Genomic DNA, 14,340 nt, shown 5'->3' with positions numbered 1-14,340 from the left:
GGCATGCATGGGAAGCATAGACAGTCTATGCATGACTGGCTGCCCCTAGCACCCTTGCTAGCCTTCACCCGCAGGGCCCACCTTCAAATTCCACATTTTGGCTGCTGGTTTAGAAGCATCACTTAAAGTGAAGTGCCTTTTTTACACCTTTAAGGCACTTCAGAAAAGCCTTGGAAGGTATACAGGGCAAGGGCTGTTTTCCTGCCCATTGGGATGGATGAGAAAATAGAGGCTGATAGAGTTTAAGAAACTTGCTCAAGCTTAAGTGACAGACCCAAGACTCGAATCCAGGGCTCTTTCCACTACTCAAAGACCACCTACCAGGGCCAGAGCTACTGGGGGTCTCAGCCCCAGTACAGCAGCAAATACCTGGGTTTGAGATTGAGACTCCCTAAGGCATCTTTCTTACTGGAGACCTCTGGCGATGCACTGTCATTTGGCCTGAACTCTGGGGACCTTTCCCAAACAGAGCCTTGCTGCAAGGGGTCTCTGAACTGCCTTATCTTTCTCAGGGTCCTTCAGGGGCTGGGTACCAGCAAAGACCTACAGAGGGTTAGGATGGTGCCGTGTTCAGGCAGCACAGGTCCTCGCCTGTCCCTTCCTTGGGCACCCTAAGGGCTGGTCACAGAGGGAGTTAGCCCTTTAGCTGGCACTTAGGTTTGACTGGAGATAATCCTTTTCCAACGACTCCAGTGACGAGGGAACGCCCTTTGCAGTTCCAGAAACTGCCCGTCTAGATTATCACTGGGAAGTTCTGGGTAAATTCTGCTATAGCCCCCCATGGCCCTGTGTGTCAGCCTGAACCCATACAATGAGTTGGGTTAAAAGAAAGAGAAAACACAAGAGACGGATGGCTCTCCCAATGGAAGCGATCAGAGACCCGGCGCACGGAGCGGAGCTCCTGGTCCTTACCTGTACCAATCCAGCCCGCGGCCGTAGTTCCTGTCAAAGAAGTGGGGTTCCGTGCCCAAGGCCCGCACGTCCGGGTGTACTCGGATAAACTCCAGCACGGCCCGGGTGCCCCCCTTCTTCACGCCCACAATGAGGGCTTGGGGCAACCGCTTGGTACCCAGCTTGGGTGAGCCGGAGTGGTTGGAACCGGAGAGGCGAGGGGCGGGCACGGCGGCGGCGGGCGCGCTGGGAGCGCTGGGCTCGCTGGGCGTCGGCCCGGAGGGATCACAGGGGCGGGACTTCTGGAGAAGTTTCTGGCCGCCCGCGCTGGGGCCGCGGAGGCAGCGAGGCGCGCCGAGGAGGCGGCTCCGACCCAGGTCGTCGCAGCAGCACAGGAAGCTGTAACACAGGTAAGTGCAGGAGAGCGAGAGCGTGAAGGCGAAGAGCAGCCTGCGCGCCCTCCGCGGCTGAGGTGGCCCCGCGCGGCCCAGGACCCTATAGGCCATGGCTCCATGGGCCCGCGCCGGGGGTCATGGTTTCCGAGGGGGCACCGGCGGCTGAGCTGCTGTGGCCCTGCGGTCGCCTAGAGGGCTCGCGTGGCGCTGCCACGGCCACGCGGGTCGGGCGTTGGGGGCGCCGTCTTCTCCGGGGGCTGCTGACCAGGGTGCGCACAGTGCCAGGGGGTCCCGGGGGCAGCGGCTCCTCGGGGAACAGGCGGTTGCATTTCCAGCATCTCCCGGTCCTAGGCGATGGGGCTCCGGGCAGCCGGGCGGCTCGGGCGCTCCCAGGCTCTTACGTGCGCCGGGTTCGGAGCGCGCCCAGCGCCCGAAGCCCCATTCCTGATCCTCGGAGCGCCGCTCACGAAACGCTCGGCGGCGGCGCGGCTGTGCGGGCTGGCGGGTGGACCGGACGGTGGCGCTGGCGCCGGCCGCGATCTGGCTCTTCGGGAAATGCCGAGCGGAGCGCGCTGCCGGCTCTATTTAAGGAGTGGCCTGACGTCAGCCGCGCGGGTCCCCCGAGCCCGCGCCGCGCCCAGGGACCTGGCCCGCCCCCTGCGCCCCCACTCTCTTACCCCTCCCAGAAACACAGCACGCGGGCCCTCCCCATGCAGGCCACTCCCTACGGAGCCCCAGGCCAGCTTTGGGGCGGTGAAACGAAGGTGTCAAGGCATAGTACTCCTCCGGGAGGCTGGACACCCCCACCACGCTGGCCTCTCGACATCCAGGGACACGAATCCAGGTCGAGATCGCGCCGACATGCAGACCAGACAGACCCAGACGCAGACGCAGGCACCCTGCCCTGATGCGCGGTCCCACCACCCTGACCCGCACACGCACGCACAGGCACAGAAGCACACGCGCCCTAGCCCGGACACACCCCCACACCCACGCGGGGGTGGGGAGGAGAAGTCCCCTAACCTGGGCCCAGATACACCGACAAGGACACTCCCCCCGCTCTCGACATCTCGCCAAATGGACACACACAGCCCGGAATCGGACACCGAGCGCACGCACGCCCTGGACTGGGACACGCGCTGTAGACGGGATGGGTGGAGGAGCCGAGCGTGAGTGAGATTCCGTGACTATTCACCCAGCTTCTTAGCCCCCAGCGCGCTGACTCACACCCCGGCGGCTCGCTCTGTCTCGCACCTATGAGGCACGCGCGCACCCCAACCCATTGTCACCCCACCTCTCCCCGGGCCTGCCGGAGAGCGAGCCCCGGAGCGGCAGACTCCGCGTCAGGAGGGTTCCTCTCTTAGCAGCCGCCGCCTAGCGGTAGACTGCTCCCCGGGGAGCTGTCCAGGGTACCAGAGGGTCGCCGAGGGCTGAGTGAGGAGGGCTTCTTCACACAGAGACACTAGGAGGAGGAAACAGAGTACAAGGAGAACGTATCCAGGAGCAATTCCACTTCGAATGATTCCTAAGTGAATGCCTACAGGACAGTTCTCGGTGACCATGTCCAGAACAGGCATAAGTGACGATCCCCAGTACTTCCCTGAGGGACCACACTGGTACCTTGGATCAGAACCCTGCATCAGAACAGGCCTAAATGGCCATGGCTAAGAACACGGCTGAGTTGTCCTTCAACAGCAATGCCAATGCCAATTCACCATGTCCGAGTGTTCACAAGGTGAGTGCCCTCCACCACCACCCAGCCATAGAATGTCTAGATGACCACCATGACCCCCACCCTGATCAGGGTATAACTGACTTCCTTCCTCAGGCTGTAAACTGATCATTAGGTTCTGTGGATCTTAGCCCAAACCAGAAAATATTTTGTCCCCAAACTAGTCCCATCCCTAGAAACCTTAAACCAATTCTACGGCAGATAATAATAATAGCTGCCAACTTTGTATCAAGCACCTGGCATGGGTTAACTGATTAAATATTCACAACCTATGAAGTTGTTACCATTACCCTGGCATCACTTTGCTGTCTTAATTCTAATAGTAGCTAGCATTTATTGAGTGCTTGTTTTATGGGAGTTATGCGCTAATCACTTGACATGCACTACCTCATTTATCTTTGGAGATAGGTATTATTGTAATTTCTAATCTACAGGCAGTGATAAGAAGATTTAACAAACATATACACAGTAACTGGCAGAGCTGGGATTAAACCCGGGCAGTCTTGACTCCAAGATTCAAGCTCTTAGTTACAGCACTTTGCAGCTTCCTAACTTCCTTTGACCATTATTCATATAATTCCATCCTAGGCTCCTCTCCTGGATGTAAGCTAATTTGTCTATGTCTCTTCTAAAATCTCACACCTGGGACTGCGCGAGGAATTTCAGATATGGATTGAAAAGTTCAACAGGACTCTCACCTCTCTTTTGTAAGTTCTATTTCTAGTAATGCCACCTAAGACTCCATTATCTTTTTCTTGTGGCTATATCACACTGCTGACATCTCAAACTTGCAGCCAAGTAACATCTCTAAATGTTTCTTACAAGTGCTGCTGATTAAGGCACAGCTACCCCATACTGTGCTTGTACAGTGGGCCTTTTTGGACCCAATGTGTAGGTCCTTATAGATTTGACTTGATTGCATTTCATCTTGTCTCATCAGTTCGCTGCCCTAGTTTTTTTTAAATGTCTATTTGAAGTCAAACCACGAGGTAGCTTTCATTTATTCAAAAAGAAAAAGTAGAAAGATTGTATCCCAGCTTTACCCTTTATTCCAGGTGTACTTTGGGCAAGTGGACCCCCTTTAAGCCTCAGGTTCCTCAGCTGTAAAATGGGACGCTATGATTCACCTTAAAAGTCTCTCAAAGTTTAGATGTTGCATGATTCTATGATTCCATTACCCAAAGCATGAACCACTCACTTGGCATCATGTAATTTCCACAGTTGATCACAATTTAATTAATTCCTCATTCTAATTGTTAATAAAAATGTCAAAACAAATATACTTAAAGGAGTTCTTCTTCTTCTTTTGGGTGAGGGGAAGTGTCTCACTCTGTTGACCATGCTGGCATGCAGTAGTGCAATCATAGCTCATGCTGCAGCCTCCACTTCCTGGGCTCAAGGGATCCTCCTGCCTCAGCCTCCTGAGTAGCTAGGACTACAGGCATGTGCCACCACACCTAGCTAGTTTTTTAATTTTTTGTAGAGATGAAGTCTTACTGTGTTGCCCAAGCTGGTCTTGAACTCCTGAGCTCAAGTGATCCTCCTGCCTCAGCTTCCCAAAGTGCTAGAATTACAGACATGAGCCACAATGCCTGGCCTGGAAGGAGCTCTTATATATACTTTGAACAATTATTCACATCATGAACCTGCTATTTTTGTATTCCATTGTTAAAATTACAAGGTTAAATGTGGAGTCATCTGCTGTGATCAGTACTATTTCCCTTAGAAAATAAAACATGAATATAATGATTTCTCATAATTCTGTGCTTGGCTTAATTTTTAAATAATTTTTAACCTTTGAATTCATAAACTGTGATATCCCTGGGTACTCACATATATCAAAACCAGGAAGATTTTCCTCTTCAAATTTCCAATCAGAGTAATGACTGACTTGGATAGAATTTTTTAGGAAGTGAGACATTGGACATACCTGCCCATCTCCTAAACCTTTATCTGTTTACAGTAGCAAACGTGATTCTGCTTTGGGGGTATCAGGTAGGATTATGCTGGGTTGTGTAGTTTGTCAATTAACACCCACTTAAGCAAGGTATATGTTTATTTTTGTAATCACATGAAAGTCCAGATGAAGGTACTTTAGGGCTTGTATGGAAGCTCCAAAGTGTTTGGGACCCAGGCTCCCTCTATCTTGTTACTCTACCATGCATTTCCTCCATTCTAAAGTCACCACATAGTCTACAATGACTTATTCATCTGCAGCCAGAATGTTCACATTCTGGTCATTAGTAAATATGTAAAGACATGCCATATCTGTTTAAGGACATTTCTTGGAAGTTGCCTGTATTATTTCAACTCGTATTCAATTTGACAGCATTTTATCATTTGACTTTCTAGCTTCAAGAGATGCTTCAAAATGCAGTCTTGATTCTGGATGGCTGTATGCCTGGCTAACACTTTGAGATTTTGGTATCAAGAAAGAACTAAAGAATGGTTATGGAGGACAACTAGTAATCCTTGCCATCCTTGGACAAACAGTTTTCCCTCTTTTATTCCCATGTGGTTTGTATGGGTTGAACATAGTTCAAAGACAGGCATATGACCAAGCCTGACATCATCACTTTCTAATTATATTTCAAGAACTGAAAGTAACTCAAATCTTTCTAGTGAGAATAAACCACACAACATTTGTGAAAACTATTGGAAAAGAGAAACTTCTTTTTCTGAGATGATGAATTAATCTAAAATAAGCCTGAAGCTTCCAATGGTCATCTCTGCTATCAAGAGGAGAAACCAACAATAAAGCCAACAAAGAGGAGAGCAGAACTGATGGAGGGAGAATTAGATTCCTGATAATATCCTTTGAACCTCTGAATCTAGCCATGCGGAATGCATGGACCCTGGACTTTATTGCTGCAGTGATTAGCTATCTTTCTGTTAGCACTTGCAACTGAAAGAGTGCTGACCAATACAACAAACAAACAAAAAGAGTTGCTCCCTCCGTTGCAAGGAATAGATACCATTTTAATAAAAAGTGTTGGAGGTGGGGGGGCTTATTTTGAAGGATATGCATGTATCAGGACTGCAACCCTTCCAAATTTGAGACAGTCATAGGATCCAGTTACTTTCTTCAACTTCTCTACTTTTCTTGTATCTTATTTATTTTGCTTCTCATTCTTAACTGCCATTGCTCTTTATTTATGAAACAGTAAGGGTTACTAGAAGTGAAAAAAAGAGATTTGGGATATCTTACACAGGAAAGGAACTTTGGGGTAGCTCACAAAATTAAGAAGAAGGCTGGAGAACTGGGCTCAAATAGAATAGCAACCAAAGAGCACATTACACTCTCTTTCTTTTCTTTTTCTGAGTCCATTTCTCTTTCACATTAGCATTCTCTTGAATCTTCCTTCCCACTCTAATGCCCTGCATTCAAGACTTTGAATTTAAAATCATAAAATAGGAAATTTTCTTCCCCTTCAGTCTTTGGGCCTAATCAAGCCTTGTTATTCAGTTTTATTTCAGTGTGTAAGCTTCAAATCTGTTCCCTAAAGCAGAGTTTTGCAAAAATGTGAGAAAATGTCCCAAAGAGGGTGACTCCTATGAGGCAAAGGACAGTGAAGTGGAGCCACATGGTCTGCAGGGTCTGTGAGGTACAAAGTTTGCATCTGAATCAGAGGATGTGCATATATCTGCTACATTTAGGAAAGAGGTTGAGAGCGAGAATGAGAGATTTCAGTTGTGCTTCATTCTTTGGATAAAATCAGAGGGTAAAAGCTCAAGGGGCTTCCAGATACTGCCTGTAGAAATGATCCAAATCTAGAAGACCGGAGACCTGGTTGATTTTTAAGAACTCTATAAGATTCCAAACGCTTTGTTATTCTCCATGTAGGTGACTTCTGTTTTTGCCAGAAATAATAGGTACCATTTATTGAGCATTTACTCGCATCATGGACTGGTGCATTTAGATGCATTACTTAATTTAATAGTCTCAATAAACCAATAAAGTAGGCATTATTATTATTATCCCTATTTTATAAATAAGGAAAGTCTCAAGTAGGTTGAATTTTCCATGTTCTACAGATGTTACAGGCTGAGGGAGGGGGAAATTAGTTCAAAAAAAGCATTAATGTGGAGATCCAGGATCAGGTTTACTCATCTTATAATCTTCTTGTGGGTCAGTACTGTTTAGCACCTCCACCTCTTATCCTGCATTATTTAAACCACACTATCTTATCTCACCCAACCTTACCATCTTGTCTTCTTCATGCAACTGTGAACTCCTTGGGGACAGGGACAAAATGACAAGTTCCAACTCAGTCTAGCTCTTGGAATTTGGGCTTCATATTCATGTTGGGACTCCTCCCTTGGTTTCTTTATCCCCTTCTCCTTCTTCGATGGACCACTAACTATTACCCACGTTGGGGCTTCCAAGGAAGAACTAACATTTCATTTCCAAATATATCCAGCATGGATTATTTGTAATGGCAAAGATGATACTAAGCCTGTTCACTTGCACAATAATACAGTAGGGCTGACCTAGTAATGCACCCTCTCCCCTAATTTTCCTTTTATCTGGAAGCAGATAAAAATGACACTACTGAACCAGAGGTGAGCACAATTGTCATCAATTTTCTAAAAAACAGACCTTAATGGTATAGGATGGAATGAATGGAAGAATATCTAGCTATAGAGAACAATATAGGGAGATATCTTTATTGTTTTGTACTGATTTTTTTGTTTCCCTTTAACATTTTTGTTATATAGGTAATATATCTTCAGTGTAGAAACAATGAAAATACTGAGAAGAAAAAAGAAAAAAGGTCCTCTAAATCATAACACCCAGAAATAACTATTGCTAATATTTTATTTACATCCTTCCAATTATAAATGTATTTGTATGTTTGTTTGCTTATGGCTCAGCCCATACCTACTGTTTTGTAAAGTTTTGATTTTTTTCAGCTTTGTAATAGTGTGACTCTATTCCATGCCATTAAACACAGACTTATGTAATAATGAGCCTAGTACTTTTAGAAAGAGAAAATAACTTTATACTGAAAATGCTAGATGTAAGGATGGTGTGAGTCTGCAGCTACCACGAATGGAGAAAATCTAACCTGCATGTGCATTAACTCAGTACAGAAGTAAGCAGAGTGACAGTGAAAGGCTGTCTTGAAATAATGCTTGAATCCCTGGATCCAGTTTTGCCTAAAGCTCTCTCTTTAAGAGTCAGTAAAGCATAGTGGTTAGGAGTGCAGTCTCTGGAAGCAGACTGCCTCGGTTCAAATCTTGGCTCTGCTGCTAGGATTTAACAGGGTAATAAATGTCATTCACTTAGAACACAGTCTGGCTAACAATAGGCCCTCAATAAACATTAGCCATTATCATGCTGAACATTTTTCAATTACATCCATCAATAAATTTTTTTGGCTTAAGCCATTTCGACTGATATAGATATGTACTTTTCAACTAGACATACATCTTTTGACCAACTTGAAAATTTTATTAAAAACAAAATAAAATCATTTTCTGTTCTCAGTAATCACTTAAGACCCCTCTTGCTTTGAATCCAATGTATCTCCTTGGTATTTTAAATGTTTCTAGGGAAGAAACCAAATATCCTCTCTGGACATAGCTCATGGCAGGTGTTCAATAAGTGCTTATTGGATAAATAGACAGATAATACCTTCAAACACCCCTTTGCCTGAAGGACAACAATTTTAGCCATGAGGACATGGTACAACTTATCTTAAAGGACCAAATTCTCTGTTTATTGATCACCTCCTTCATGTCCTCTCTTCCCTCTTTATTCAGCCAAGATTCCATGGATAAACACGGTAATCAACTTTTCGCTTATAACCATCAACTCCTTGACCCTCTCTCACTGTGCTGTATTTCTTGGGTTAAGATCAACTTTCTTCCCACTCAATGTCTGCACCCGCACAACCGAACACAGCGAATGTACAAGCATGACGACTAGTCTCACTTAAAATTCATCATTTCTATTCTCAAGAGGGCCCTTAACACTTCCTAGCAATCATACTATGTTTCCTAGTCCATTCATTCTCAGGCTGTATATAGCTACTTAGCACCCTCCCTCCTCTTTGCAAACCTCTAACGCTTTCTCCACTATCCCCATCAGCCAATGGCCTTGCCTTTACTTTACTGGTAAAATAGAAGAAATCAGAAGAGAATTTTTACGACCACCTCTACTCACCTACCTGCATCTGTGTTCATATACTTTATTTTCTCTCTTGTTAGTATGATTTTGTTATGGTCTGTTTGTTTTTTTATTTTTTAATTTTATGAGTACACAGTAGGTGTATATATGTATGGGGCGCATGAGATGTTTTGATACAGGTATGCAATATGTAATAATCACATTATGGAGAATGAGGTATTCATCCCCTCAAGCATTTATCCTCTGTATTACAAACAATCCAGTTGCACTCTTTTAGTTATGTTTAAATGTACAATTAAGTTATTATTGAGTATAGTCACCCTGTTGGGCTATCAAATAGTAGGTCTTATTTATTCTTTCCAGCTACTTTTTCGTACCCATTAACCATCCCCACCTTCCTCGCTCCACACACACCCCACTACACTTCCCAGCCTCTGGTAACCATCCTTCTACTCTCTGTGTGCATGAGTTCAATTGTTTTGATTTTTATATCCCACAAATCAGTGAGAACATGAGATGTTTGTCCTTCTGTGGCTGAAGATCACTTAACATAATCATCCCCAATTCCACCCATGTTGTTGCAAGTGCCTATTAATATGATTTTATTGTCTGTGTTTTTAGATAAAGCTGAACTTTCCACTTGTATACACATCCAATCCACTCTTGTATTCTCTAGGACATGACCCCAGAAATCCTTCAGTTTCCCTCCTTTATCATCAATTTCCCCTCTCCACTGGGTCCTTCTCATCAGCATACGTGTTGTTATTTGTGACATCTTAAAAAGAAAAGAAACTACCTTATCTTGACCTCACCTCTGCCTTTCTAGTGCTCTATTAATATGCTTCCCTTTACAGCTCAACTCCTCAAAAGAATGATCTTTAGTGCTCCCGATTGCCCTGAACCCATTCCAATCAACTTTTGCTCCCACCTCTACCCTCTCCTCTACAATTGTTCTTCTCAAGGTCGCCAATGAACTCCATGTTGTTGAACTCAAGTCAATTTTTAATCCTCATTGGTCCTACCTAAAAGCAGCATTTGACACAGGTGACACTTTTTTCTTCTTGAAATGCTTTGTTCACCAGGATTTCAAGATGCCTCATTCTTCCAGTGTTTCTATCTCTTCTCTACTTCTCCTTCTAAGTCTCCTTTGATGATTTCTTTTTGCCTCCCTGACCCCTAACTTGTAGTATCCTAGGGATTAGTCTTGAGACATCATCTCTTTGCTACTTACATTCATTCTCATAGTGATATTACAAGTCTCATGGCTTGATACACCATTTACATGCTACTGAGTCTCAAATTCATATCTGCTTTTCCCTAAACTGTCTATTCAGCATCTCTACTTGGATGCCTAATAGACATCTCAGATAAACATGTCCCAAACTGAACTCTTACAAGTTACCTAAAGCCTGCTTTGTTCATAATCTCAGTCATGTAAATAAATGATAATCCTAATCTTCATTTGCTCAGGCCAAGAAAAGTCTAGAGTTAGTCCTGATTCCTTTCTTTCTCATACTCCACACCTGATCTGTGAGCAAATCCTGTTGATTCTCCCCTCAAAGTCTATACAGTCGTCCCTCCCCAACTGCAATTTTGCTGTCTGCATTTTCAGTTACCCACAGTCAACCATGGTTCGAAAATATTAAGCGAACAATTCCAGAAATAAACAATGTGTAAGTTTTAAATTGCACAGCATTTTGAGTAGCATAATGAAATCTCTCCCTATCCAGCTCTGTCCTGCCTGGGATGTGATTCATGCCTTTGTTCAGCATAGCCACACTGTAGATGCTACCCCACCCATTCATCATTAATAGGCTTCTTGGTTAACAGACCAACTGTTGCAGCATCACAGTGCTTGTGTTCAAGTAACCTTTATTTTACCGAATAATGACCCCAAAGCACAAGAGTAGTGACGTTGACATATTGTTATAACCATTCTATTTTATTATTAGTTATTGTTTGTGTTTTTAGATAAGTTAATCTCTTACAGTGTCTAATTTATAAAGTTTATCATAGGTATGTATATATAGGAAAAAACATAGTGTGTATAGAGAGTTCAGTACTATCCACGGTTTCAGACATCCACTGGGGGTCTTGGAATATATCCCTCTTGGATAAAGTGGGACTATTTTTCTGAATTTGACTGACTCACAGTCTCCATTGCCAACAGCCTGGTCCAAGTTATTATCCTTTCTCATCTAAACTCCTGCAATAGCTACTGTCAGTCATTTCTTTCCTCTGGGTTCTATTCCCACTCTTTTATATTTTCCTTTGAATTGCAAGATGCTGGCAGTCTGAAAACTACATTTCCCAGAATCTTTGGCCAGCTGGTTTTCCAGTTAGATTCACCCACAGGAGGTCCTGGCAGAAGACTGAAAAATAGATGGAAGGAAGAAATCATGTTTTACTTCTAGAGATATCTCATATAGCATTAGCAGCAACAGCAGGGGTGGCTATGTGCAGACTTATAATTTCCTTCTCATGTGGCATGGTGGTTGAAGTGGGCATTCCTATAGCTTCAGCAGCACAGAATTCATAGGTCCTGGCTCCCACAGGTGTAATGGACCCTCTACCTCTCAGTCAATTTTGGGTGCCCCGGGATCCTGCAATGTTAGCGGAAGTGTGACCTTCTGGCTTCCTGCAAGGCGGATGTGGCCATGGTTCCTAAGGCAGCTGTAACAGTAGCAGATGCTCCAGCTATCACAGTGATGTAGCAGCCACGGGCTCTGTTAACACCACTTTCCCTTTGATCCTTCAGTCTAGGCGTGGTTTTTGCAGTTGTTAATTTTTAAGTAACTTCGTTCTCCCCTTTTGGCTCCTCCAACCCTTCCATCACTTTTGGGACCAATTCCCTCTATTACATCCTTTCCGTTTGAAATACCTAGAGCTGTTCTGTTTTCCTGAGCAGATGCTGACTGATATAGTCTTCTAACAGATCTTCCTAAAGTCCAGTCCCAAAAAGAGGAATCCTTCTATTTAAAGCCCTCTATGCCTTCTAATATCACTCAAATAGAAGATCTATTCCTGGAGCTAAAGACTTGTCAACCTGGTAAGAAAATTTTTAGGACAATAAGCCAAAATAATACTGCCAACTGCCCAGATCACTCATCTCCACCCTGACCCTACACTATTCTTAAGCAACAAGCAGACTAAGAACTGACCCCATTTGAAAATGAAAAATAATCAGAAGAATCCGGCATGGGATCCATGAATAAATACTACATAAGAGGATGATTTTAACCTAATTCTTCTTGGTTCATGCTAACACTGTGACTTTTCCCACCACCATGTTTGAAGTCTCCCAGTCTGAAGCTCCTTTTAATCAATTTTCCTGTAGAATAAGTGACTACAGAGTGAGTGGCACTGTTTTCTTGTTGCGTGCATGGCAAGGGATACATGCGGGGTCCAACTGCTCAACCTTGTGCCTCTTTCCTGCTTCCCACAGTACCTGATGCCTCCAAGTGCTGAGACTTTTGAGGGTTTCTGAGGCAATATTACCTACTGTAGGCAGTCAGCTGCAACCTACTTGTCTGCTATGCTGGGTAATGCTTCCAACATTTTATGGTAATCTTACATTTTCCATTGCATCCTCTCACTTTCTTTGTCCTTGTAAATGAATACCTTTATTTCATTCCTTTAGACATGGTGGTATGGTGAGAAATACAATTTATGTGACAGAAGTGTTCTGAAAGAACCTTGAACTTCACCAACAAAAAGCACTCAGGTGGTGGCCCTTGAGTTAATCTCTCTGTACCAAAGAGGCAACTCCTCCAGTTTTGAGTCTTCAGCTCTGGCGGTTTTCAAATGTGGACCCTGCAGGTGGCAAGCAATGAGCAAGTAAACAGTTTAAGAAGGTCAGCCAGTGGGTAGCAGGGAAATCTAATTAATTTGTACTATACAAGTAGTACATGACTCAGTCCTTTTGTAAAAATGTAGAATAGTGCAGCCAAAGATAAGGTGCCCTTTGACCAACCATCCCCAGGAATTTTTGTGCTCTCTTCTTCTCCCCAAAAGTTATTAACACTGTTACAGTTTAGGTAGTATACTTTTAATCTCTTTCCTATGCCTTCATGTATGGAAAAAAATAGAAAAATTTTAAACTCAGCATATTTTGTTGGGGTTTTGCTAGGAGTGTACACACATGATGAGGGTATTCTGCAACTTGCTTTTTTCACTGAACATGTTAATGCCTATAGATTTAACTTAGGCTCTTCAGGGTATTTTCATCGCATATATGATACCTCAAGTTATTTCCAGTTTATATTTATTTATGTGTTGTCATTTATATATCCATTTCAGTGTTCATGGGCATTTAACTTTCTATCCTTTTCCTTTAGGATTAGATTTGGTTGCATATAATGGAAAATCCCAAAACAATAGCAGTTTGACTAGGATGTAAATGTTTCTATGTCATTTAACGGAAGTACAAAAGGAAGCAATCTGGGTCTGTATGGCAGCTCTATGAAGTTATCAGGCACCCATGCTTCTTCCATCTCTCTGCAACCTTGGATGTATCCCACCTCCTTATGGTTGAAGATGGGCACCTGACATGCTCACAATCACATCCCCAATCCTGTTGACTGCATGGAGGAAGCAGAGAAGGGTACTCTTCCTCCCCCTTAAGAGGATTTCCCAGAAGTCTACACAAATGTCTGATCACCTTTCATTGGCTAGAATTTAACCACATGGCCACATCTGGCCACAAGGAAAGCTAGGGTGTGTACTCTTTTGATGGGCAGTAGTGTTCATTGGTCCTGTTGTTTTGAAAAAGAAGTGGATAGGAAGTAGACAGCTAGCAGTTTCTGCTTCAGGTTGTTTATACTCTGTTATTCTAACAACAATGCTTCAATAAGCATCTTTTAACAACAAGGATGAGTCAAAATATCCCCAGCCAATTAGAACAGACCCTGACCCTATGGCCAGAGGAGGGTCCCTCTGTGCCAGTCATTACCTCTAGTTGCTGGATCACAGAAAAGTGCAGGGCTAAGGGTAAGGGATTGAAGCGGTCCAGGGAGTGAGGGTCAAGGGCACTTAAATGACCTGAGGTTGGGGCTATCTACCAACCAAAGGAGAAGCATTTCAATATTTTAGAAACTGGTAGAGGCCTGCTTATATTTTCCTTACAGTGTACACGTGGCAGTGTGTCTCTGAAGAAGATTCACTGGGTCACAGGGTATACATATTTTTAA

General features: G+C 44.2%; 1 protein-coding gene and 1 long non-coding RNA gene across 5 annotated transcripts in view; one reads left to right on the top strand and one right to left on the bottom strand.

Annotated features, from left to right (window-relative positions):
- Window positions 1–1,846, bottom strand: part of HS3ST2 (heparan sulfate-glucosamine 3-sulfotransferase 2) — a 102,177-nt gene extending 100,331 nt beyond the window's left edge. For both annotated transcript variants that reach the window (NM_006043.2, XM_011546001.4), the window contains exon 1: window positions 913–1,846. In NM_006043.2, coding sequence (NP_006034.1) covers window positions 913–1,397 — 485 coding nt within the window. In that variant the 5' untranslated portion in view covers window positions 1,398–1,846. The remainder of the gene's footprint in view (window positions 1–912) is intronic.
- LOC107984851 (collagen alpha-1(XVI) chain) lies at window positions 1,149–8,364 on the top strand. Of its 3 annotated transcripts, none has more exons than XR_001752349.2 (4): window positions 1,149–1,301; window positions 2,744–3,021; window positions 3,607–3,725; window positions 5,371–8,364. It is a non-coding gene; the product is annotated as a collagen alpha-1(XVI) chain (long non-coding RNA). The 3 variants fall into 3 exon arrangements; XR_007065029.1 differs by lacking the exon at window positions 5,371–8,364 and adding an exon at window positions 4,074–4,300 and having other exon boundaries at window positions 1,226–1,301; XR_005647011.2 differs by having other exon boundaries at window positions 1,293–2,455.
- Window positions 8,365–14,340: the final 5,976 nt, after the last annotated feature.

Source organism: Homo sapiens, chromosome 16 (assembly GCF_000001405.40).
Source record: "Homo sapiens chromosome 16, GRCh38.p14 Primary Assembly".
NCBI lineage: Eukaryota > Metazoa > Chordata > Mammalia > Primates > Hominidae > Homo > Homo sapiens.
The sequence above is the reverse complement of the archived record's forward strand: the minus strand, read 5'-3'. Positions and strand labels throughout refer to the sequence as shown.